Here is a 27835-nt window from a genome sequence, read left to right on the forward strand (position 1 = left end):
AGTTTAAAAGCTTGACTTGGGATTTTATAAAAGTACGCTCAACTACAACAGACTTCCCAGGATTCTTGAAACGTGATATTGATAACTGTGATCCAGCCACTGTATTAATTAACCTCTTTCTAGCAATGAAAAGTACGTACATAGGTTTCAAATAATTTCTATTAGGGAGAATGCAACATTATGAACAGTGTGATTTATATCTTTTCTTCAGGCAGGAAATAAATTGCAATGGTGTTACTAGTGGCAAAGATCCGAGTCACCCCAAGTTACCGGCAGCCTATCCTTAAGGGTCCACAGCAACTTCGGTCCTTGCCTCCTCGGAAGAAAGAATTTGACTGAGGGGCATAAAGTGGGGAAAGAGACCGAGGCAAGTTCCAGAGCAGGAATGGAAGTTTATTTTAAAGGCTTTGGAAAAGGAAGAAAGGACGGTGCCCTTGGAAGAGACCCAAATGGGCACGGGAAGGTTTAACAGAGGTCAAGTGCCCCATTTAATTGGGATCCTAGGACTTTCATAAGCGGGCCTCTTTCCCATGATTCCTCCCATAGGGTGGGCTGCCGGCATGCGCAGAGCCCGCCTGACCCTTTGGAATTGAGCATGCGCAGTGTGTGTAGGGAGTTAAATGCATGCCCATCGGAGGTTTTCTTTTTTCCAGTGGGGTGCACCCGGGAGACCATACTCCGCCATTTTTGTCTCTAAGATGCATGCTCAGGAATCTGTTTCTCCCTGGGGCCTGCATTCAGTTAACACTTTAAATGTTAACAGGTGTGGACCATTAGGACATTGTCTGTCCCTGGCTGCTAGATTATCTTTATTTTATTTATTTATTTATTTATTTATTTATTTATTTATTTATTTGAGATGGAGTTTTACTCTTGTCGCCCAGGCTGTAGTGCAATGGTGCGATCTCAGCTCACTGCAACCTCCGCCTCCCATGTTCAAGCGATTCTCCTGCCTCAGCCTCCCAAGTAGCTGGGATTACAGGCATGCACCACCAATCCCGGCTAATTTTTGTATTTTTAGTAGAGACAGGGTTTCACCATGTTAGCCAGGCTGGTCTTGAACTTCTGACCTCAGGCGATCTGCCTGCCTCAGCCCTCCAAAATGCTGGGATTACAGTTGTGAGCCACCGCGACCGGCTAGAATTATCATTTTTAGAGAGCCAGTTCGAAAACTGCCCAACCATCCCCTGACATTTCTAGTGGGTAGGGGGAGAGCCTTCTCCTGCCCAGCTCAGGCCTACCTACCTGTAACCTTCGGATTTGGTTGCAAGACCAAAATTAAGACACCGTCATTCAGTATGACTCATTGGGACCAAATTGGTTTCTGCATGGGCTGGTAAATCTAGATGTGTTTCTGAATTTTGGAATATCCCTTAATTACATGCTTCAGTAGGCTTTTATCCAGTGCTCCAGCAGCTAGTGACTTTCCCTTCACTGGGGCCAGGAAATTTTAGTTTTTCTTATTGTTTTAAATGATTGATCGGTGCCATGAGAAGTCAACTTAACCACTGGTATATTTTACTGTGAAATGTGTAAGTTATTTATACATAGCAATAACAAAATAGAAGGCCGGGCGTCGTGGCTTATGTCTGTAATCCCAGCATTTTGGGAGGCTGAGGCGGGTGGATCACCTAAGGTCAGGAGTTTGAGACCAGCCTGGCCAACATGGTGAAACCCTGCCTCTACTAAAAATACAAAAAAGTAGCCGGACCTGGTGGGGTGCACCTGTAATCTGAGCTGCTTGGGAGGCTGGGGCAAGAGAATCGCTTGAACTCGGGAGGTGGAGGTTGCAGTGAGCCGAGGTCATGCCATTGCACTCCATCCTGGACAATAAAAGTGAAACTCCGTCTCAAAAAAAAAACCACACACACACACACACACACACACACACACAAATAATAAAATAGAAATATAACTAACATGGCGTAGAGTCAAGATTCTATTTTTCAAATAGACCATAAAGGGAAGCGTGCTTGTATAAATGCAAAAAGAATAAATAAAAAAAGACATTTCAACCTAAAATGCTTTTTAAATTACCACCCCAATACAGTTTAATTGTAGCCTCAGATCAATAGTTGTAAATACTTTATTACAAAAATAATGACTTTCATATACTCTTTTGTGAATATAAAAGATACCATCGTCAAAAATTTACAAAATAAAAAGGGAAGTAAATATTTCAATATCAATTATACACTCACCAAGAAGAACCATTTTTACTATATATTCCTCTATGCTTGTGTTACTTCTTATAAATACATACCTGTAATTATCAGGCTGGACATGCCGCATTGTAGCCTGTTTCCATTCAACAATAACTCATGAACCCTTCTGTGTATTAAATACTTTTCTACACATCTGTTTCAATGCATTTATTGAATTTCATCATATGAATCGTTTCTATTTTGTGTATCTAGTTTCCTATTGCGTACATTTAAACTAATTACTATTCTTGCTATTGTATATATGTATTTGATAATTGCATTGTTTGTAGTCTTCGAATATTTTTTGAATATTTAAACCCACATATACCCTAGGATAATTTGGAGAAGTAGCATTGCTGGGGTTTCACACGTTTGCTCACATAATTGTATGTTAAGAGTGGTCCATTTCTCCATACCCACCCATATTGCCCTGGGCAGAAATTTCCTTCTCTAATTGTTCGCTTGGTTCCAGATTAACACCACAGGCTTCTTGCAGCCTATGGCTTTATGGCTGACGGCTCCATGGGGAGCGCACTCCCACCCTCTTCTAAAGATTGGCTCAGAGTCAGTCTCTGCAGAACACTGAGGGCTCCTAACAGAATGGAGCAGCACCACTAGGATGGCCTATCCTCCAGAGGCCTGGAGAGAAGGAGAAACCATTCCAATTTCTTCCAACCCAGCACCCGACACACCTGAGTTTACTTCAACAAAAGGACAAACATAATTCGAAGAGGATAATTACCCTATCATCATGAAATAAAAACAAAAAACATGTTTTCCTGAGGAGATAGAATTCTCATCTGTCTGTCTGTATCTATCTAGCTAGCTAGCCAGCCATCTATTGTTTGTCTGTATCTATCTGTCTGTCTGTATCTATCTATCTAGCTAGCCAGCCATCTATTGTTTGTATCTATCTGTCTGTCTGTTTATCTATCTATCCTTCCATCTATCATCTGTTTCTATTTTGAAACAGGGCATTGTTCTGTCACCCAGGCTGGACTGCAGTGGTGCAATCATGGCTCCCCGCAGCCTCCACCCCCTGAGCTCTAGCCATCCTCCCACTTCAGCCTCCCTGGTAGCTGGGACTATAGGCATTCGTCACCACACCGAGCTAATTTTTAAATTTTTTTGTAGAGATGAGATCTCACTATTGTCGAGGCTAGTCTCAAACTCCTGGCCTCAAGTGATCCTCCCACCTCAGCCTCCCAAAGTGCTGGGATTATAAGCATGAGCCACCACCACACCCAGCCTATATATTTTATTTATGTTTTACATATAAATGAATTAATATCATTATTAAATAAATATACATTTACTATGGATTTTACTTATATGTTATTTGTATGCATATATGCATTCATATAAACATTTCATACATTACATATAAAATTGTATATTTATGTAAATTTTTATATATTTTATATTTATATATACACATATAAAATGTATGTGTATATACAATTATATATATATATATATGAAAAGCTTGGACATCACAGATGTGCCAAATGGAAAAAAATATCTAAAGCTTAAGTAGCAAATGCAATATTGAATTCAGGCCAAATTAATTAAAGTATAACAGGTGTAGAAAGCTTGATGCTTACTCACAAAGCAATCACGCCTGGTCCGCCAGCTCCAGTTCAGGAGGCAACTGAGGACTGGGCTGACCCATGCTCCTTCCTGTTCCTGTCCTCTCAAAGGGAATCACCATCCTGACTACAAACAACACGAATTAATTTTGCCTGTGTTTGCATTTTATGTAAGTGGAGTCATACAGTATATACTATATATTTATTTCTTCACCATGTTGTGACATGCAAAAGACTTGCAGCATATATTGCTTTGTGCCTGGCTTCCTTTGCATAGCATTCTGGTACATGTAGTTATGGATAATTTATTCTTGTTGTTGTAGAGTGTTTTTCTGTATGATTATATCACAATTCATCCATCTGCTCTTAATGGTTATTTTCCTTTCCTTCATATCATTCTCACAAATGCTACTGGAGGGTCTACTATGGGCCAGCAGTATTCTAGGTTCTGAAACTTCTGTGCTGACCAGGACAGATTAAACTCAATTTGCTGGAAGAGACAGACACAAGTGTTAAAATAATTTTGGAAAAAGACAAATACTATGTGACAATAGTGCAGGTGGGTATGGAGGAATGCAACGTGGTGGGTAGGGAATATGAGTGGTCATGGTAAATTTTTCCAGAGAGGGAGTATTCGAGCTGACACCCAGATGAAGACCAAGAGGCAAGCAAAGGTGGAATGGAAGATCATGCCAAGAAAAATGAATGATCACCCCAAAGGGCCTGAGTTAAGAAGAAACCCAGCCTGCCTGAGGAACAGAACGAAGTCCAGTATGACTAGAACAAAATGAGAACAGGGAGAGAATGGGGAACAAGGTGATTTAATTGGGGCTAAATGAGGAAGATTCCCAAAGGCCATGGTGAAAAGTGGGGCTTCTATGATAAGGTCAGTGGGAGGCCATTGGGTTGCTTTTGAGCAGGGTAGTGACTTAATCTTATGTACTAGGGAATTTAATTTATTTTCTGTATTCTCTGCCATCTTAACCACTGGCTATCAATAAATGACAAGCTAGGAATGTTAACAGAATAAGTATATTTTATTGGATAATGGGAGTGGGAATTTAGAATAAGCTCCTTTCAAGAATTCTCATTTCTACCTTAGCAGGGACACTGAACACTGATTAAATTTCTCTGGAAGTGCTGGAAAGTGTACAGACTCCTGTCTCTGCCCATAGCATTTATTCCCCAAATTGGCCACTTCTTGTCACTCAGAGTGCATTACACGAGTCTAAAGTCGAGCTTATTGTTACTATACTTAACAACTTTACTAAACACAAAATGCATTTATTGGAGATTAGATCAGACTTCTGAATTGCCTTTTGTTTTTTGGGGGTGAGGGAGAAAAAAAGATTCATAAGGGATTTGTTTCAAATAGAAGTCATTCTTGTCAAGCTATGTCTTTAAAACTTAGTTCTACAATAGATTTGCCAAAAAATCAATTACTTGCCTAGAGACAGAGTAGATACATTTTTTTCTTGTAACCTAATTCCAAGAATTGTCTTACGGGTAGTGTTTCTTATCTAACTCTGAACATCCTCTTCTGCTATCTGTGAATTTCTTATAAGAATACTTGGGGCTGGGCATGGTAGCTCACGCCTGTAATCCCAGCACTTTGGGAGGCCGAGGCAGGCAGATCACGAGGTCAAGAGATCGAGACCATCCTGGCTAACACGGTGAAAACCCGTCTCTACTAAAAATACAAAAAAAAATTAGCTGGGCGTGGTGGCGGGCGCCCGTAGTCCCAGCTACTCAGGAGGCTGAGGCAGGAGAATGGCATGAAACCGGGAGGCAGAGCTTGCAGTGAGCTGAGATTGCGCCACTGCACTCCAGCCTGGGCGACACAGCGAGACTCCTCTCAAAAAAAAAAAAGAGAATACTTGGAATTGTTTCTAACTTGGTGCTCTTTTTTAATTAAATGCTATATTATACTTTCTCCTTATATTTGTGTGTCACATACTAATGTTGATTTATAAATAATTGTTTCCTGGGATGCTGCTTTTGAATTAATTAAGAGGTAATATAGGAAAAAGGAGTGTCTTCCTGCTCAAATTAGTTGAAGAAGCTGCCTTCAACTGGTGATGTTAATGACGGATTTCTCAGTTAACTAGTGATTCGTGTTTTGGGGCGATGCTTAAAACAGCATATTTGAATAGACTGCTCCTGAATTTACTCATTGTATATCTGGTCAACAAACATTATTGATAACTTTTATGGTCTACATCCTGACCTAGACAATAAGGTTAAAGAGATAAATTAGAAAAACCAGTTCCTCCTTTTAAAAAACTTAGAAATAAATGGGAATGTTCCATGTAATCTATCCAGCGATGCAATTTTTTAAATTATTAATAAAAGGAAAAGCATTAAAAAATAAAAAGAAATGAATGGGAATGTAAGGTCATCAATTTATTACAACTGTTGCAGTTGATACAAAGAAGAATTAAGGGGTTATCCTAGTTCACATCAAAATATATGCCAGATGCCCTCTTTATAGTGTCAGAATTTTACTTGAAAAACTGTCTATTTTATAGCCTGCATTTTCACCCTGGTATTTTTTTTAATATTTTTTTTTTATTATACTTTAAGTTTTAGGGTACATGTGCACATTGTGCAGGTTAGTTACATATGTATACATGTGCCATGCTGGTACGCTGCACCCACTAACTCGTCATCTAGCATTAGGTATATTTCCCGATGCTATCCCTCCCCCCCCCCACCCCACAACAGTCCCGAGAGTGTGATATTCCCCTCCCTGTGTCCATGTGATCTCATTGTTCAATTCCCACCTATGAGTGAGAATATGCGGTGTTTGGTTTTTTGTTCTTGCAATAGTTTACTGAGAATGATGATTTCCAATTTCATTCATGTCCCTACAAAGGACATGAACTCATCATTTTTTATGGCTGCATAGTATTCCATGGTGTATATGTGCCACATTTTCTTAATCCAGTCTATCATTGTTGGACATTTGGGTTGATTCCAAGTCTTTGCTATTGTGAATAATGCCGCAATAAACATACGTGTGCATGTGTCTTTATAGCAGCATGATTTATAGTCCTTTGGGTATATACCCAGTAATGGGATGGCTGGGTCAAATGGTATTTCCAGTTCTAGATCCCTGAGGAATCGCCACACTGACTTCCACAATGGTTGAACTAGTTTACAGTCCCACCAACAGTGTAAAAGTGTTCCTATTTCTCCACATCCTCTCCAGCACCTGTTGTTTCCTGACTTTTTAATGATTGCCATTCTAACTGGTGTGAGATGGTATCTCATTGTGGTTTTGATTTGCATTTCTCTGATGGCCAGTGATGATGAGCATTTTTTCATGTGTCTTTTGGCTGCATAAATGTTTTCTTTTGAGAAGTGTCTGTTCATGTCCTTCGCCCACTTTTTGATGGGGTTGTTTGTTTTTTTCTTGTAAATTTGTTTGAGTTCATTGTAGATTCTGGATATTAGCCCTTTGTCAGAGGAGTAGGTTGCGAAAATTTTCTCCCATTTTGTAGGTTGCCTGTTCACTCTGATGGTAGTTTCTTTTGCTGTGCAGAAGCTCTTTAGTTTAATTAGATCCCATTTGTCAATTTTGTCTTTTGTTGCCATTGCTTTTGGTGCTTTAGACATGAAGTCCTTGCCCATGCCTATGTCGTGAATGGTAATGCCTAGGTTTTCTTCTAGGGTTTTTATGGTTTTAGGTCTAACGTTTAAGTCTTTAATCCATCTTGAATTGATTTTTGTGTAAGGTGTAAGGAAGGGATCCAGTTTCAGCTTTCTACATATGGCTAAGCCAGTTTTCCCAGCACCATTTATTAAATAGGGAATCCTTTCCCCATTGCTTGTTTTTCTCAGGTTTGTCAAAGATCAGATAGTTGTAGATATGTGGCGTTATTTCTGAGGGCTCTGTTCTGTTCCATTGATCTATATCTCTGTTTTGGTACCAGTACCATGCTGTTTTGGTTACTGTAGCCTTGTAGTATAGTTTGAAGTCAGGTAGTGTGATGCCTCCAGCTTTGTTCTTTTGGCTTAGGATTGACTTGGCAATGCGGGCTCTTTTTTGGTTCCATATGAACTTTAAAGTAGTTTTTTCCAATTCTGTGAAGAAAGTCATTGGTAGCTTGATGGGGATGGCATTGAATCTGTAAATGACCTTGGGCAGTATGGCCATTTTCACGATATTGATTCTTCCTACCCATGAGCATGGAATGTTCTTCCATTTGTTTGTATCCTCTTTTATTTCCTTGAGCAGTGGTTTGTAGTTCTCCTTGAAGAGGTCCTTCACATCCCTTGTAAGTTGGATTCCTAGGTATTTTATTCTCTTTGAAGCAATTGTGAATGGGAGTTCACTCATGATTTGGCTCTCTGTTTGTCTGTTGTTGGTGTATAAGAATGCTTGTGATTTTTGTACATTGATTTTGTATCCTGAGACTTTGCTGAAGTTGCTTATCAGCTTAAGGAGATATTGGGCTGAGACAATGGGGTTTTCTAGATATACAATCATGTCATCTGCAAACAGGGACAATTTGACTTCCTCTTTTCCTAATTGAATACCCGTTATTTCCTTCACCTGCCTAATTGCCCTGGCCAGAACTTCCAACACTATGTTGAATAGGAGTGGTGAGAGAGGGCATCCCTGTCTTGTGCCAGTTTTCAAAGGGAATGCTTCCAGTTTTTGCCCATTCAGTATGATATTGGCTGTGGGTTTGTCATAGATAGCTCTTATTATTTTGAGATACGTCCCGTCAATACCTAATTTATTGAGAGTTTTTAGCGTGAAGGGTTGTTGAATTTTGTCAAAGGCTTTTTCTGCATCTATTGAGATAATCATGTGGTTTTTGTCTTTGGCTCTGTTTATATGCTGGATTACATTTATTGATTTGCGTATATTGAACCAGCCTTGCATCCCAGGGATGAAGCCCACTTGATCATGGTGGATAAGCTTTTTGATGTGCTGCTGGATTTGGTTTGCCAGTATTTTATTGAGGATTTTTGCATCAATGTTCATCAAGGATATTGGTCTAAAATTCTCTTTTTTTGTTGTGTCTCTGCCTGGCTTTGGTATCAGAATGATGCTGGCCTCATAAAATGAGTTAGGGAGGATTCCCTCTTTTTCTATTGATTGGAATAGTTTCAGAAGGAATGGTACCAGTTCCTCCTTGTACCTCTGGTAGAATTTGGCTGTGAATCCATCTGGTCCTGGACTCTTTTTGGTTGGTAAGCTATTGATTATTGCCACAATTTCAGATCCTGTTATTGGTCTATTCAGAGATTCAACTTCTTCCTGGTTTAGTCTTGGGAGAGTGTATGTGTCCAGGAATTTATCCATTTCTTCTAGATTTTCTAGTTTATTTGCGTAGAGGTGTTTGTAGTATTCTCTGATGGTAGTTTGTATTTCTGTGGGATCGGTAGTGATATCCCCTTTATCATTTTTTATTGGGTCTATTTGATTCATCTCTCTTTTTTTCTTTATTAGTCTTGCTAGCGGTCTATCAATTTTGTTGATCCTTTCAAAAAACCAGCTCCTGGATTCATTAATTTTTTGAAGGGTTTTTTGTGTCTCTATTTCCTTCAGTTCTGCTCTGATTTTAGTTATCTCTTGCCTTCTGCTAGCTTTTGAATGTGTTTGCTCTTGCTTTTCTAGTTCTTTTAATTGTGATGTTAGGGTGTCAATTTTGGATCTTTCCTGCTTTCTCTTGTGGGCATTTAGTGCTATAAATTTCCCTCTACACACTGCTTTGAATGCGTCCCAGAGATTCTGGTATGTTGTGTCTTTGTTCTTGTTGGTTTCAAAGAACATCTTTATTTCTGCCTTCATTTCGTTATGTACCCAGTAGTCATTCAGGAGCAGGTTGTTCAGTTTTCATGTAGTTGAGCGGTTTTGAGTGAGATTCTTAATCCTGAGTTCTAGTTTGATTGCACTGTGGTCTGAGAGATAGTTTGTTATAATTTCTGTTCTTTTACATTTGCTGAGGAGAGCTTTACTTCCCAGTATGTGGTCAATTTTGGAATAGGTGTGGTGTGGTGCTGAAAAAAATGTATATTCTGTTGATTTGGGGTGGAGAGTTCTGTAGATGTCTATTAGGTCTGCTTGGTGCAGAGCTGAGTTCAATTCCTGGGTATCCTTGTTGACTTTCTGTCTCGTTGATCTGTCTAATGTTGACAGTGGGGTGTTAAAGTCTCCCATTATTAATGTGTGGGAGTCTAAGTCTCTCTGTAGGTCACTCAGGACTTGCTTTATGAATCTTGGTGCTCCTGTATTGGGTGCATATATATTTAGGATAGTTAGCTCTTCTTGTTGAATTGATCCCTTTACCATTATGTAATGGCCTTCTTTGTCTCTTTTGATCTTTGTTGGTTTAAAGTCCGTTTTATCAGAGACTAGGATTGCAACCCCTGCCTTTTTTTGTTTTCCATTTGCTTGGTAGATCTTCCTCCATCCTTTTATTTTGAGCCTATGTGTGTCTCTGCACGTGAGATGGGTTTCCTGAATACAGCACACTGATGGATCTTGACTCTTTATCCAATTTGCCAGTCTGTGTCTTTTAATTGGAGCATTTAGTCCATTGACATTTAAAGTTAATATTGTTATGTGTGAATTTGATCCTGTCATTATGATGTTAGCTCGTTATTTTGCTCGTTAGTTGATGCAGTTTCTTCCTAGTCTCGATGGTCTTTACATTTTGGCATGATTTTGCAGCGGCTGGTATTGGTTGTTCCTTTCCATGTTTAGTGCTTCCTTCAGGAGCTCTTGTAAGGCAGGCCTGGTGGTGACAAAATCTCTCAGCATTTGCTTGTCTGTAAAGTATTTTATTTCTCCTTCACTTATGAAGCTTAGTTTGGCTGGATATGAAATTCTGGGTTGAAAATTCTTTTCTTTAAGAATGTTGAATATTGGCCCCCACTCTCTTCTGGCTTGTAGGGTTTCTGCCGAGGAATCCACTGTTAGTCTGATGGGCTTCCCTTTGAGGGTAACCCGACCTTTCTCTCTGGCTGCCCTTAACATTTTTTCCTTCATTTCAACTTTGGTGAATCTGACAATTATGTGTCTTGGAGTTGCTCTTCTCGAGGAGTATCTTTGTGGCGTTCTCTGTATTTCCTGAATCTGAACGTTGGCCTGCCTTGCTAGATTGGGGAAGTTCTCCTGGATAATATCCTGCAGAGTGTTTTCCAACTTGGTTCCATTCTTCCCATCACTTTCAGGTACACCAATCAGACGTAGATTTGGTCTTTTCACATAGTCCCATATTTCTTGGAGGCTTTGCTCATTTCTTTTTATTCTTTTTTCTCTAAACTTCCCTTCTCGCTTCATTTCATTCATTTCATCTTCCATTGCTGATACTCTTTCTTACAGTTGATCGCATCGGCTCCTAAGGCTTCTGCATTCTTCACGTAGTTCTCGAGCCTTGGTTTTCAGCTCCATCAGCTCCTTTAAGCACTTCTCTGTATTGGTTATTCTAGTTATACATTCTTCTAAATTTTTTTCAAAGTTTTCAACTTCTTTGCCTTTGGTTTGAATGTCCTCCCGTAGCTCAGAGTAATTTGATCGTCTGAAGCCTTCTTCTCTCAGCTCGTCAAAGTCATTCTCCATCCAGCTTTGTTCCGTTGCTGGTGAGGAACTGCGTTCCTTTGGAGGAGGAGAGGCGCTCTGCTTTTTAGAGTTTCCAGTTTTTCTGTTCTGTTTTTTCCCCATCTTTGTGGTTTTATCTACTTTTGGTCTTTGATGATGGTGATGTACAGATGGGTTTTTGGTGTGGATGTCCTTTCTGTTTGTTAGTTTTCCTTCTAACAGACAGGACCCTCAGCTGCAGGTCTGTTGGAATACCCTGCTGTGTGAGGTGTCAGTGTGCCCCTGCTGGGGGGTGCCTCCCAGTTAGGCTGCTCGGGGGTCAGGGGTCAGGGACCCACTTGAGGAGGCAGTCTGCCCGTTCTCAGATCTCCAGCTGCGTGCTGGGAGAACCACTGCTCTCTTCAAAGCTGTCAGACAGGGACATTTAAGTCTGCAGAGGTTACTGCTGTCTTTTTGTTTGTCTGTGCCCTGCCCCCAGAGGTGGAGCCTACAGAGGCAGGCAGGCCTCCTTGAGCTGTGGAAGCTCCACCCAGTTCGAGCTTCCCGGCTGCTTTGTTTACCTAATCAAGCCTGGGCAATGGTGGGCGCCCCTCCCCCAGCCTCGCTGCCGCCTTGCAGTTTGATCTCAGACTGCTGTGCTAGCAATCAGCAAGACTCCATGGGCGTAGGACCCTCCGAGCCAGGTGCGGGATATAATCTCGTGGTGCGCCGTTTTTTAAACCCGTCGGAAAAGCGCAGTATTCGGGTGGGAGTGACCCGATTTTCCAGGTGCCATCCGTCACCCCTTTCTTTGACTCAGAAAGGGAACTCCCTGACCCCTTGCGCTTCCCAAGTGAGGCAATGCCTCGCCCTGCTTCGGCTCGAGCACGGTGCGCGACCCCACTGACCTGCGCCCACTGTCTGGCACTCCCTAGTGAGATGAACCCGGTACCTCAGATGGAAATGCAGAAATCACCCGTCTTCTGCATCGCTCACGTTGGGAGCTATAGACCGGAGCTGTTCCTATTCGGCCATCTTGGCTCCTCCCCTTCACCCTGGTATTTTAAGAATGCATTTAAATATTTTATTTCACCTTACTTGTTTTGCATGTGTAGTCCTTTTAATCTTAGGTATTAAATATATAAAACAGACTTTCACAACTAGTTAAAGAATTTTCAAAGGGCAGATAAAATATGTAATTTTCATCTTTCCAAACTGGTGCTATGTAACATACGAAGTGCAATTAATGGTCATAATAACATGCTTAAACACCAAACCGAAAGAATGCATCTGGAGTTATTAACTAGGAACTAAATGAGGAAAAAAAAGTATGTATGTGTGTATGTGAGTGTGTGTGTGTGTCTGTGTGTGTGTTCTATAGTGAGATGCAACTTAATTTTTTTTTCCAAGTAAAATATAGGCAGGAGCTTTCTCTGGAGGAAGTAGTAGGAAATGGTTCACCCTCCTTCAGGAAAAAAAACTGGACAAATATATAAAACAGTTTTAAATACATAGATATAGGCAAAAAGTAGTGATTTATGAGAGAAGGGAAAATAATGAAGTAAACTCCCAAATTTCCCCACATGTACTGCCTTGAGAAACCTTTCAGTCCACAGAAGGGGATGGGGGATATCTCAGAGAGGAGCCATCTGACTGGGAACTGGAGAGGAGAGAGATCCAGAGAAATCTCCAGAGGCCCCTCCAGCTGTTCAGCTGGCTGTTAATCAGCACAGTGATGCAGAAACTGACTGTGGCCAGGGGAAACATTATGTGGAAGAATTCGAGAGGACAGCACCATGATACCACATGCAAGCTTAGCATGGTTGGCCCATCACCTAAACACAGAGACCTCATAATTCAATGAGAAATAAGGTAGGATACTCTTAAAAGGTCTTCACTACCTACTGAATTACAATGAACTCTTAGCTTTAAATTAATGCTGCTCTATTTCTGTCTAATAAATCTTAAAAGCCTTACCCAAAAGGATTATTTCCAAATACCTTAATTGTGTTCCACAACAAAACTCAATATCTATATAAATTACATAATTTTATATAGCATATATATGTGTATATCCCCCAGAAGGATACATTCCAAAATATCTTGCATCCAATCAAAAATTACCAGGCATGCCTATGATGAGAAGAAACCTCAATCGAAACATCTAAAACTGACACGTGTGTTACGATTAGAAGAAAAAGACATTATAACAGTCATTCAGTGTGTACAGAAAGCGGAGAGAAGTGTTAAGATGTGGCAGGGAGACAAAACATAAAAAGGACACAAGTTGGCCGGGCGCAGTGGCTCACGCCTGTACTCCCAGCACTTTGGGAGGCTGAGGTGGGAGGATCACGAGGTCAGGAGATCGAGACCATCTTGGCCAACATGGTGAAACCCCTTCGCTACTAAAATACAAAAAATTAGCCAGACATGGTGGCATGTGCCTGTAGTCCCAGCTACTTGGGAGGCTGAGGCAGGGGAATCGCTTGAACCCGGGAGCTGGAGGTTGCAGTGAGCTGAGATCCCGCCACTGAACTCCAGCCTGGTGACACAGCAAGACTCCATCTCAAAATAAATAAATAAATAAAGGATACAAGTTAAAATTGTATAGATGAGGCTGGGTGCAGTGGGTCATGCCTGTAATCTCAGCACTTGGGAGGCCGAGGCGGGAGGATCACAAGGTCAAGAGATCGAGACCATTCTAGCCAATATGGTGAAACCCCATCTCTACTAAAAATAGAAAAATTAGCCAGGCGCCTATAGTCCCAGCTACTCAAGAGGCTGAGGCAGGAGAATCGCTTGAACCCGGGAGGCGGAGGTTGCAGTGAGCTGAGATCGCACCACTGCACTCTGCCTGGTGACAGAGTGAGACTGCATCTCAAAAAAAAAAAATTTGTATAGATTGTGTGAAATGAGCAATTATGTTGGATATGGTAAGCAACAGATTAGACAATACAGAAGAAGATATTAGTGAATATGACAAATTAATAAAAAACTAGCCATGCTGAACCAGAGAGAGACAGGGAGAGAGAAGAAAACAAAAACAAAAAAGAACAGAGATTTACTGTGCTTAGGAGAAGTAGCCTAATAATTGTGTAACTGGAGTTCCCCAAATAAGGACGTACAAAAAACATTTGAATGAATAATGTAATGAAATGATAAACACACAAATCTAAGAAGCTTAATAAAACCCAAGCCCAAGAACCATACAAAATACACAAAGAAATATTATAACCAAATTGTCCAAAACAGTTTACAAAGAAAAAAATCTTAAAAACAAAGTAAAAATAAATGTTATATAGAGAGGAAGAACTCTAAGAGTTGCAATATATTTCTTGTCAAAAGCAATGCAAATGAGAAGACAGAAAGACACCATTTTCACATGAAAGAAAGAAAATAGTAGCCAAGTTAGAATTCTGTGTGCACTCATATATACTTATTTTTTTAATACAAAAGGATGTTTTTAGATTTACAAAAGCCAAAAGCTGAAGGAATTTATTACTGGAAGACTTCACTACAATAAATGATAATTCAATAGAATAAAAAATAATACAAGATGAAAACATGGACCTAATCAAAAAAATAAAGAGGACTTGAAATTGTAATCACTTTGGTAAATCTATGAGTATTACCTTATTATTTTAATCACCCTAAAAGATGATGAAGCAGAATTAATTCACGGAGCAAATACTTCTTAAGCACCTATTAGATCACAGGCACTTAAGGTGGCTATTGGGATACTACATCAAACAGCTGTGTGAAAATACCTTGAAGGAACTATGTAAACACTGTATTCTAAAATAATATGCAAGGTATGTTCTTTACAACTTGTTTTATTGGAAATACAATTATAAACAACCAAATTTCAAGTTATTAACCAGTACTAATTTATAATCACTGTGTATTACAGCAAACTCAATGCTTCAGTGACTTCCAAATCTACTGAGAGATAAGAATTGATAATGTACTGATAAACTTAGTTAGGACTTTTAAATTGTTCTTGGTTTAAGGAAAAGCTATATTTAGAATGATTTCCAGGCCAAGTGTGGTGGCTCACTCCTGTGATCCTAGCACTTTGGGAGGCCAAGCTGGGTGGACCACTTAAGGTCAGGAGTTTGAGACCAGCTTGGCCAACATGGCAAAACCCCGTCTCTACTAAGAAAACAAAAATTAGCTTGGCGTGGTGGTGCACGCTGATAATCCCAGCTACTCTAGAGGCTGAGGCATAAGAATCCTTTGAACCTTGGAGGCAGAGGTTGCAGTGAGCACTCCAGTCTAGGCGACAGAGTGAGACCCTGTCCCCCACTCCCCACCGCCAAAAAAAAAAAAAAAAAAAAAAAAAAAAGATTTCCCTTTGCATGTACTTAGGATCTCCAGTTGCTGAAAATTTCAAAGGAATTTTAAAGTATACTTGCAAAAATTCTATATAGGCATTGATATAACTTTTATAGTATTCAAAAATAGTATTTTATAGTATTCAACTTTTATAGTATTCTGGATTTACTATTCACTTTCTAACCTGCCTATAAGACACTGGAGTACAGACATCACATTTTGGCTTGTTTTAAAGGCCCCACATCTAACCATCACAGTGAATGCATATAGCAAGTCTTGATGGGAGCATGTTCAACAAAAAGGCAGAGTTGTTCAGCAGATGAGACTCAGGCTTTGGGGTTATATGAATCCACGTGTTATTTACTTCTCGACCACTTACTGATTTTATGCCCGTACTAGTTCCCTAGACCTGCCATAACCAAGAGTCACAAACTTGGTGGCTTAAACTACAGATGTTCTAGAGTCTGGAAGTGCAAAATTGAAGTGTAGGCAGTCGTCATGCTTCCATCAAAGCCTCTAGGGAGGGTTCCTCTAGGGAGGGTTCCCCTGGGGAGGGTTCCTCTTCACCTCTCCCACTTTAGGGTAGCTCCAGGAGCCTTCACTTGTGGTTCATCGCTGTCATCCTGCCTTTGTCATCTGCATATGGCCGTTTTCTCTCAGTGTCTTTACATTGTCTTCCCTCTGTGTTATCTCTGTCTCTGTATCCAAATTCCCCCTTTTTATAAGGACACCTGTCTTATTGGATTAAGGCTCATCCTCATGACCTCATCCTAACTTGACATCTGTAAACATCCTATTTCTAAATAAGGTGATAGTCACAGATACTAGAGGTTAGGACCTCAACATGTCTTTTTGGGGAGACAATTCAACCCATAAAAATGACCTTGAGCCAGGTCCTGATTCCTCTAGGCCTTGGATCATCAACAAAATAGAAAAAAAAATCAGCAGCAGTGATTGAATTATTTTGACAAGAAATTGAGATGGGGGTGTATAGTGCATCACTCTGAAGTGTTGGTTCTTTGCAGAGAAAGGAGCTTAATATTAGAAAGTCTTTTTCCTTATTTAAGGTGGAAACAATTATAGTGCGGGGAGGGAAAGTGGAGGATGATGATGGAATGGGAGTGAGGAAAACCATTTCACTATTTTTGTTTTGATTTGTTTTGAGATGGAGTTTCGCTCTTTTTGCCCAGGCTGGAGTGCAATGGCACGATCTTGGCTCACTGCAACCTCCACCTCCTGGGTTCAAGTGATTCTCCCGCCTCAGCCTCCCGAGTAGCTGGGATTACAGGCACGCGCCACCACACCCGGCTAATTTTGTATTTTTAGTAGAGATGGAGTTTCTCCATGTTGGTCAGGCTGGTCTCGAACTCCCAACCTCAGGTGATCTGCCTGCCTCGGCCTCCCAAAATGCTGGGATTACAGGTGTGAGCCACCACACCTAGCCCATTTCACTCTTAAGGTTCTACTGAAAATCCACAATGAAATGGGGATTTTTTATTTCTTTCTTTATTTTTTTGAGACAGGGTCTCCCAGGCTGGAGTGCAGGAGCTGTGATCATGCCTCACTGCAGCCTTGATTTCCCAGGCTCAAGCAATCCTCCCACCTCAGCTTCCCGAGTGGCGGAGACTACAGGCACATAACATCATGCCCAGCTAATTTTTGTATTATTTGTAGAGACAAGGTTTTGCCATGTTATCCAGGCTAGTCTTGAACTCCTGAGCTCAAGCGATCCACCCACCTGAGTCTCCCAGAGTGCTGGGATTGCAAGCATGAGCCACCACACCAGGCTGAAACAAGATATTCTTAATCTGAGTTGGAGAATCTTAGCATTTCAGGTCTTTGAAGAAATTGAAATGCTACTAAATTAAAGAAGAATATGAGATAATATTGTATGAAAACTATACATTTTATAAAATCAGATAATTCTTTATTACTGAGTGATCTTAGCAAACCTATGGAAAGAATCTTATCTATCTACATAGTAAGCAAATACAACTCATATCTATGTTAACATGTCTAAATGAATTTTTTTTAATATCTATGTTAACATATCTAAATGAATTTTTTAATATTTTGATATACCCCTCGGTCCCAATAACAGGATTTTTGCTTAGGGAGAAAACACTGTTTTGAGTCTCCTGATCATCACTGTAGCAGCACTTTTACCTTTGGGATCGTCTCAGAATTCACCTAATTCAAAGCTTCCATGCAATTACACTGCCACATTTTCCCAATTTAGAAATTCTAATGGCCCCCAGTGGATATTTTCACAGGTTGAATTTCAGAGACAGCTTAACTATCACATGTTTTGTTCTAAATACCCTTATCCAACTTCCAATTTGCCAGCCAGCCACCAATATACATTGCCTGAGAAAGCGCAAATGTGCTTCACGAACAGCATGAGATTCTAACTCTAATACATTTAAACCCCAGGCTCACCACTTGTGCACCTGTTAGAATTGCATATTCTTTCTTTCTGCTAATAGCTTTCAAACTATTTAGCAGGTGACAGCCACACCTAGAAGAACACATCCAGAAAAACATTAACAAGACGCCGTAATGTGAAATGCCAGACACATTAAAATAGCATGCTGTGAATAGGAGATACAGGCTTTGCTCTCTGAAAGGCATGGTCCAAGGGGCTCAAGTTCAAAGGGGGAAAAATTCTGTCTACGCTGCTGCATGAGTAAATGAAACAAGAACATACTGGAAGGAAAAGTTCTGAGAGTAGGAAACTGAGATTGCAGGCCTGCTATCCTAAAAGAACTGTTTATAGCAGGAATTTCCAGGAAGTTTGGAGAAATGTCTGAATTTCTGGGACTCAATTGCAGCACTTGCTTAACAATAAACATTGCCTTCTTTTCTGTGTCTTTTCCCATGCTGAGGTATCTCTGGGGATTGGGGTATGTTACTGAGACTTTGGCATTGCTGAGTTTTTTCTATGCTGTTTCCAGGATCCTTTTATGCTCATGTTGCATTTGTGTGTGTGATAGTGTAGTAGATGGGCAGCCAGGGCTAAGTCAACACATTTATTTCAGTTTCTTCATTTCAGAGACAGTCTTTTATTTGAACAATGAAAAGTAAATAGAAACCAGGCAACTTTTTTGGAGCCACATTAATATATTTTTTCTCATGAGGTTTCATTGTGAGTCTAATAACTGTGTAGAGATTCACGACTCCAGCAATTAGCTTCTGGATATTTCTTTCAATCTGATAGTGTAGTTTGCCTGGCAGTCAGATCGATAGCTTGGGGGTTGAATGCAGCCTTCAATTACTTCTACCTGAAGACCTGATCTTCAATTCTACAGTGCTGATTAGTGTATGTATTTCATTAGAACATTAGTGCTTAAAATTCACATTCATCACGGCAGTGCCTGGCTGTCCACAGGTTAAGAAGGGGAACGGAAGGCAAAGCTTAGAAAGAAACCCTTATCTTGACTTGACTTGAGTCCACATCTCTCAACTGTCTTCCATGTTTTTTTTTTTTTTTGTTTTGTTTTTGAAATGGCGTCTCGCTCTGTCACCCAGGCTGGAGTGCAGTGGCGTGATCTTAGCTCACTGCAAGCTCTGCCTTCTGGGTTCACGCCATTCTCCTGCCTCAGCCTCCCAAGTAACTGGGACTACAGGCACCTGCCCCCAAGCCCAGCTAGTTTTTGTATGTTTAGCAGAGACAGGGTTTCACCATGTTAGCCAGAATGGTCTGGATCTCCTGACCCCATGATCCACCTGCCTCGGCATCCCAAAGTGCTGGAATTACAGGTGTGAGCCACTACCCCTGGCCCTTCCATGGTTTTCAATACATCCATCTGATCACTGATATTTAAGTCCCACAATACATTCTCCGTGGAGTTGCTGGAGGGATCACTTAGAAAAATAAATCAAGCATCATCTCTCCTCCGCTTGAAACCCTCCAGAGCCTTCTCCTTTTGATTAGAACAAAATTCAAACACCAGCCTCGGGGCATGAGCTGACTTGTTCTTTCATCTTGTATCACCATCTTCCCCTTTGCTCCTTACCTCTCAGTACACTGGCATCTTCATGTGTGCCAACCACAATGAGTCATTTTAGACTGGGATTAGAACAAAACTTCAATGACAGCCCAGCTCCCCTCTCAGCACTTAAGTCTTCTGGGCACAGGTGTAACATTTTACTTTCTTTTTTCTCTTTTCTGGCATGTTTCCTACTCTTGTACCTTACACAAGTTTTCTAAATTCAGAATACAAGTGGAATACGGCGTGTAGTAAAATTGCCCTTGAAAACCTCTTAGAATAACTCTAAAGTATATGGTGCAAAGGGTTTTGTTGCATACATAAGATGTTCCCTGTAATAACTATGCCTCATGAGGGATGAAAGTTACCAAGATACAACAAAGAAAACAGAAAAGCTACAAGCAGACATTTGTAAAATCAAACCATTCTTCCTTTCACATCACTATCAAATCTTTAGCTGTCAATGAGTGATGGTAAAAATCCCCAGGAGTCTCAGCCTGCTTTCAGGATTTACTTATTTTCCTTTAACACTTTTAGAGCCTAAGTACATGTTCATAGATTTCCTTGTTGTTAGTATTAAATGAGATCCCAGGGTAACACCTCACCCACGGATTAAGTATTCATTCCAGCTAATAAATGCACTTGTGATGTTGCAATACGCTCTATAGAAGATGCTCAACACAGGTGGAGCAGGAAGTTTTGGCCAAACATCAGGATTTTCAAAATAAAGTAACAGACCAAAATGCAGATTTTCAAAGGAATGTCTGAAAATTTGTTCAATAATGCCTAATGCTCTTCAACCTTTTTAAAAACATAAAAAATGTCAGGAGGAGGGAGCAGATGGGGAAATCATGGGTTTCAAAAGAGAGGAGATATTACCACCAGGTGGCAGGAGCGCACCCGTGGTTATCCACTGAACTCTAGCATAGCTACAGACAGAGGAGGTCCCTCACAGCACCAGCTGGTCCAGAGGCTGTGGTGTGTGGCCCATCACCCAGATAAAAAGGAGGAGAAGGGAACTCCTGGGTTAGGTGAGACTCACCTGTCCAGGTGATGTTGTCCTGCAGCCCAGTAGGGAGTCTCTGGGTCAGAGACCTCCAAAGGGCAAGAGCCATCTGGTGGGCTTTAGAGCTCCTAAGTTTGTCGTTATCTATGACTAGCAGATGTTGGATGCAGTTTGCAACGTATACAAAGCAGGACAGTTCTAAATGGTTAAATACCAGCTATGTTGGAAACAGTTGGATGCGTAAAAATTTGAATCTGGCTCTGGTATGCTTTTAAATGCTAATGTGTCCCAGGCTGCTGTGAAGATGGACACAACCTAGGGGCCAATATCCAGATGCCATTGTAAAAAAATGGAGGAGATTGTAAAGAAAAAAACAAACAACTCCTCGATGAGCTCTGTAGTTCCTAAAGTGGGGAGAAAGGGGAGATGCTACTTGCTTTATTTACTGCTTGATGGACCCTTGAAGAGCTCGAAACAGGAAGACACCATGGATTGTGATATGATCCCTGCCCCAGAGATATGCAGGTCTTAAGGAGGCCTCGTTACCTGTCTGGTGGCAGAGCTGTCTGGGGGCTGCTCTGTGAGGAGAGACCTGGGTGCTCAGAGTGCCCCAAAACTAAGAAGGCCATGTGTACCTGTACTCCAGGTGTGCCCAGTTCTAAGGAAGCTAGGTCTCTTATTGCCCAAATAGGGAGACTTTTGAAAGTGAACAGGAGAATATTAATAATTATGCCAAGACACCAGAAATTGCCTGAGACAGTTTTGGGAAAACTGGAATGGATGTCACCCTACACATGCAGCATGGAAAACCAAGCTGGAGCCTTTGTGAGCGAGCATCTATGTGGGGTGGTTGGCAGGATGAATAGAAGCAGGCAAGGAATTGGGGGCAGTAAAAGCAAATTATTCCTGAACCAGAGGAATTATCACTGGGGTCCAGCAGGGAACCATTGAGAAATATGTGAAAGTACCCATAAGAGAAAGCAGCAGCCTCTACTAAGGCCAGAGAGTAAAGCCAGCTTGGGAAGTTAGTGATGCCTCTAGGATCTTTACTGTCCCCTCCCTCTTTTCTCTCTTATTCAACCCCTGGAAGGTGTGAAACTGACGGACAGGCTGATGGAAGGGTGGGTGTGGGAAGAGAAGAAAGAGAGAATGGTTATCTTAATAAATGCTGAAAAACACACATCATTGACCAAAAAAATGTTGAGAAAATAAAAATGGTGGGTATAGACTTTAATTTTTTTTTTTTTTTGAGACAGAGTCTCGCTCTGTCATGCAGGCTGGAGTGCAGTGGTGTGATCTTGGCTCACTGCAATCTCTGCCTCCCGGGTTCAAGCGATTCTCCTGCCTCAGCCTCCCAAGTAGCTGGGACTACAGGTGCGCACCACCACACCTGACTAATTTTTTTATTTTTAGTAGAGACAGGGTTTCACCATGTTGGCCTGGCTGGTCTTGAACTCCTGACCTCGTGATCCACCTGCCTTGGCCTACCGAAGTGCTGTGATTACAAACATGAGCCACCGCGCCCAGCCATAGACTTTAATATTAAAAGCCAATAGTTTACATAATGAGGGGACCCTAGAAGGACCTCCACCAAGATCATTAACAAAGCAAGAATATGAACAAATTTCACTATTATTTCACAATGTTCTTGAGGAACTAGTTAGGGCAATTAGACAAAAGGAAACAATTTGGACATAAAGACTGAGATGAAGATATAAAACTCCATAAGCAGAGAACCTGATCATACATCTAGAGGATCAATGATAAAACTAACAAAAACACTACAGGATTTCAGCAAGACAGCAATGTACAACATTAACATACAAAAATCAATAGCATTTGTAGACACAAATATTCACCAGTTAGAAGATAAAATGAATCCATGGATCTCATTTATTACGGCAACAAGAAACAAACAATACATTTAAGGATAAATACACCAGAAATGTTTGAAGCCAACAAGCAGAAAAGTATAAAACTCTCCTGAAGATAAGAGGAGGTTTGAATAGCTATGTTCTTCCTTGTTCTAGATAGGGCATCTTTACATCACTGATATTTCAATTCTCTCTGACTTAATGTATAACTTTAATGCCACCTCAATAAAAATTGTAATGAACATTTTCTTGGAGCTATACAAGCTGATATTAAAATTTATATAGCAAAAGAAATAAACCAGAATAACCAGGAAAGTCCGAAATGCAAGTCTGGAAGGGAACTAGTCATGCCAGGTACTAAATCAAAGGGGGCAGTGAGGATCTGGTGCAGAAACAACCTGATCAATGGGACAGGACAGGGAGTCTCAAAATAGCCATAACTGCATATAAACATCTAGTATATGGTTACCACAGTATTCAATTCAAGGGGGCAAAATAGAGACTTTTTAATAAATGGTGTTGGAATAAATTATAGTTATTTGTTCAAAGAGTTATAATTTTATGCATTCCTTACACCATGCACTAGATGATCCTCCAAATGGATTAGACTGAAATGGAAAGAAAAAAAGGGTGAATTCCTATATCATCTGGGTCTAGGTAAAATTTTTTCAACTATGACCAAGTTCCACATGTAACTGAAAAATTAAAAACTTGACTCTCTCTCTATATATATATATTTTACTTTCATGGCAAAAATAATCCATTATGAGGAACATAAAAAGACAAATAATAAACAGGAAAAAATATTGATGATATATATTACAAACTCCAGAATCATAAAGACATCTTAAATAATGAGAAAAAAATGTAAAATGCTACAGAAAATTTCGCAAAAATGATGACTGGACAACTCAAAAAGTTATAAAAATATCTCTTAAATATATGTAAAGTGTTTAACTTCACACATACTAGGAAAAATTAAAATAAAAATTATTCTGAGATATAGTCTACCCATCAGATTGACAAAAAGCCAAAAGCTTGACAATAGACTCTTTTGACAAGGCTGTCAGGAGGGAAAAAAAAAAAAAAAACTCTCCAACACTGGTATCAAGAATGTAAACTACTTAACTCCAGAGAAAGAGTGATTGGCAATATCTAGTAGAACTACGTATGAATTTATGTTTTGGCCTAGAAATGCCACTTCTAGGAATTCATCCTAAAGACATGCATCTAATCGTACAAAAAATACATCTGCACAGATTATGCATTGCAGCATGATTTGTGATTGCAAGATATTAGAAACTGCCTAAATATTCAAGTATGGGAGAGCAGTTGAATAAACTGGGCTATCTACTGCAGTTGGGTATTCTGCGGCTGTAAAAAACATGCAGACTTTTTATTTTTTAATGAACTGATATAGAATGCTCTCCAGGAGATGTTATTTTAAAAAAATTTAAAAGGTAAGTGCAAAAGAGGTTATAAATTATTCAGCTTTAAAAGGAAACAGCATTATGACAGATGCCGCAACATGGCGGTAGCTTAAGGACATTATGGTAATTGACATAAGCCAGACACAAAAGGACACATATTGTATGATTACGCGCATATGAGGTACCTAGAATAAGCAAATTCTTGGAGACAGAACATAGAATGGTGTTTGTCAGGGGCTGGGGAGAAGGGAGGGATGGGGCGCTATTGTTTAATGAGTACAGCGTTTCAATTTGGAATGATGAAAAGGTTCTGAAAATGGATGGTGGCGATGGTTGCAAACAATGTGAATGTAGTTAATGCCACAGAACTGTATACTTAAAAATAATTAAAATGATACCTTTTGTTATGCATTGTACCACATTTAAAAAATAATAAAAAGAACATATGTAGCATGCTACATTTTATGTAAGATAAAAGAAAAAAATAGGAGAATACGCATATATCTGCATATATTTACTGAAATAATTACAGAAATGTATTAGGGCTCTCCAGAGAAGCAGAATCAACAGAACATACCTGGATATATGTATATATATATATTTTTTTTGAGACGGAGTTACACTCTTGTTGTCCAAGATGGAGTGCAATGGCATGATCTTGGCTCACCTCCATCTCCACCTCCACCTCCACCTCCACCTCCTGGGTTCAAGTGATTCTCCTGCCTCAGCCTCCCAAGTAGCTGGGATTACAGGTATGCGCCACCACACCAGGCTAATTTTGTATTTTAGTAGAGATGGGGTTTCTCCATGTTGGTCAGGCTGGTCTCGAACTCCAGACCTCAGGTGATCCACCCGCCTTGGCCTCCCGAAATGCTGGGATTACAGGTGTAAGCCACGGCGCCCAGCCTATATCTGGATATTTAAGAGGAGATTTATTATGGGAATTGGCTCATGCAGTTTTGGAGGTTAAGTCCCATAATATGCGTCTGAAAGCTGGAGAACCAGGGAAGCCAGAGGGGTAGTTAAGTCTGAGTGAGGCTGAAGGCCTGGGAACTAGGGGAGAAGATAGTGTAACTTTCAATCTAAGCCAAAGGGCTGGGAGGCAGAAGGAGGCTGGGGTGCAGGTGCGACACATATCCGCTGATGAGAGACTCTGGTCTGAGTCCGAAGGGCCAATACTAGGAGTTCCAATGTCCAAGAATAGAATAAAGATCTTCCAACTCAAGAAGACTGAATTCATGCCTTCTCCACCTTTTTGTTCTATCTGTGCCCTCAGTGGATTGTGTAGTATCACCCCCATTGATGAGGGCAACTTTTCTTAGTCTGCTATTCAAATGCAAATTTCTTCTGGAAATATCTTCACACATGTACCCAGCATAACGTTTTACCAGCTATCTGGCAATCCCTTAGCGCAGTCAAGTTGACGCAAAAAATTAACCATCACGAGAAAGAATAACCCAGAAAACGAGCTGATTAACTATGAGAAGTGGGGAGAAGGAGGTAGAAGGAACATCATACATCTTCAAAAGTTAAAGTTAATGTTATATGTATTCAAAAGTAAAATTAAATCTATAGGAATGATGAAGGGAAAAACAACATTTCAAGCAGGCTAAAACAAATGAACCTAATTGCATTTCAAATGAATACTGTCCTTACAGGGAAACTGGGGGAAAGGGAGGGAAGGAAGAGGACAGGAAGGAGACATAGGAATCAAACCAAGCAAAATATTAATCTGGGCAAAAGTGTACAGTTAGGATTTTTGTACATGATTTCTTTTTGAATATTTTTATTAATCCAAAGTATTTTCCCAATTAGAAAGGTAAAAAAGAAAAAAAATTAAAAAGACCAACAACTAAAACAAAACAATGCTGCCGAGACCTGGCTTCTGCTCTTGCTCTCAGCCTGGGGTTTCGCCTGGCAGCAGGGCTGCTTTGTGTTTGAAACCCTAGCAAGGCTTCTCTGATGAGACCTGCCCACATTGCTACTGCAGGAGACCTCCACTTTTAGCAATGGCTGTTATTACAGAACAATGCCTGGAGACATTTAGACTTCTAGAAATTTTGTTGTCTTTCTTTTGACAACTCAGCTCTCACTCTAAGAACAAGTGAGGCAAAGATTAGGAAACAAAGAAAATAAAAAGAAAGCAAGAAAAAACAATCCACATACTTTCTTGAGTTTTTGCTCCATTTGTCTGCATAGCTTGCATCATTCACATGTCCAAATCAAAGTTACTTTAACTCAAAATAAATCAGTGAGTGATTTATGATTGTTTTTGCATACAGAAAGAAACAAAGCAATGTTTTTCCAAAATATGTCTTGTTTTCACTTTGTTCCACAATGCATTATGGTAATATTGCAATATGTCTTAAGATAATACCTACATTTTGAGCACCTATTTTGAAAACTTTATGTCACTTAATCTTCAGAATCACCCTATACTTTATGTATTAGTATTGTTATCCCATTTTATAGATAAAGAAATGGAAGCTAAAATATACCAACTACTTATTCAAGGTCAAAAGCAAAACCAGGATTGTCTCATTTGGAAGACTACACCTTCATCTACTGCACGATTTTCCCTTCCAACCATTTTAGTTAAAAGAAAAGAACAATGTCTCACTAACTCAAACCAGTTTCCACTTCTATGGTACATTCTAGTTCTTTTGATTTGGGACATTCTGCATTTTTATCTAGATTTTGGTTCACAGAATTGCTCCCAAATAAAATTTTAAAATATTAACATTGTTTAGTTAAACAGAGTGAGATTAAAAGTGGATATAGAGTTTCACCAGTGGAGAAAACAATGTTTATCATTGTAGGCTTCTATTTTCTACTTCTTTCTTTCTGCCAGTGTGTGAATGCGTGGAGACACACACACACAATTGACCCACGGCTTGGCTCAGTGTCATTTAGACTCCTTTCTTCCACAAAGATCATCCTGTTAAAATCAGAACTGAAGGTCTGCACGAGCCCAATTTCAAACTGACAGAAAATAATGGGCTCCTTTGCACACCCATTAAATAAGAGCAAATATATGAAAACAGAGTGTCTTGAATTTTATAGGTGGTGGATAATCGTGAGTTGATCCCTGTGATCTTCTCCTGGTAGTTTCTGTACTTGGATGATGGTCAAGTTCTGATAATATTCTGATGACAGAAGAATGGGTTTTGAGCCTGCAAATTCGCCCACCCACATTGCCCCTCTCATCTACAGGAACCTTCCATGCTTTTTCCAAAATTGTGTCCCAAATAAAGAACAGTAAAAAAAAAAAAGCGTTTGTTTTTTATTTTGTTTTTTGTTTTTAAGGACATCCAAATATTTTATCCAGGAATCATAATCACCATCAGTGCAATTAGGTATATATTTAAGCTTCTGGCTGTGATAAATGACATCTGAGGTCATTTCAAGATGAGTCATTCCAAGTTGCCTGCAAATACAAATCTCAAGGTGCCACCTGGAAGGGCTGTGCTGTCCAAACTGAGAGATGTAGTTTTAAAAGGCCAGCCAAGCTCCCATTTATTAATGAATCCACGCATCCGTGGATCTCCACAGGGGAATAAGTCACACAGAGCATTCCACCAGCTAGGCTGCTCAGCCAGGAGAACATTTTACTTAGAATTATGGATGCTAGGCTTTCACTGAACAGTTAGAAAATGTACCAAAAGTGTCATGTGTCTCTAATAGAGCAGAGGAGCAGCTGCTCCTCTTGGAAAGGGACCCTGGCTTTCCAGTTAACCAGTAGTCGCCACTCAGTATTGTCTCACACAAGCTCACTTCACTCATTGTTGTGTGTCACCTTCCTGGCTCATGGGGGCATTTGACCTATATTTCAATGCCTTACAAAACTCTGATGAACAAACAGATTCCAGAA

General features: G+C 40.1%; 1 protein-coding gene across 3 annotated transcripts in view, besides 1 other annotated feature; it reads left to right on the forward strand.

Moving 5' to 3' along the window:
• Window positions 1-27835, forward strand: part of LOC107984449 (uncharacterized) — a 97530-nt gene that overhangs the window by 27752 nt on the left and 41943 nt on the right. The gene's annotated exons all lie outside the window — the stretch shown is intronic.
• Window positions 11573-12116: an enhancer, noted in NCBI's record as "NANOG-H3K27ac-H3K4me1 hESC enhancer chr12:127584370-127584913 (GRCh37/hg19 assembly coordinates)". NCBI's record gives its function as "activates a minimal SCP1, AML or CMV promoter by ChIP-STARR-seq in naive H9 embryonic stem cells {active_cell/tissue: H9 hESC(naive)}" and the evidence as "EXISTENCE:reporter gene assay evidence [ECO:0000049][PMID:30033119]".

Source organism: Homo sapiens, chromosome 12 (assembly GCF_000001405.40).
Source record: "Homo sapiens chromosome 12, GRCh38.p14 Primary Assembly".
Lineage (NCBI taxonomy): Eukaryota > Metazoa > Chordata > Mammalia > Primates > Hominidae > Homo > Homo sapiens.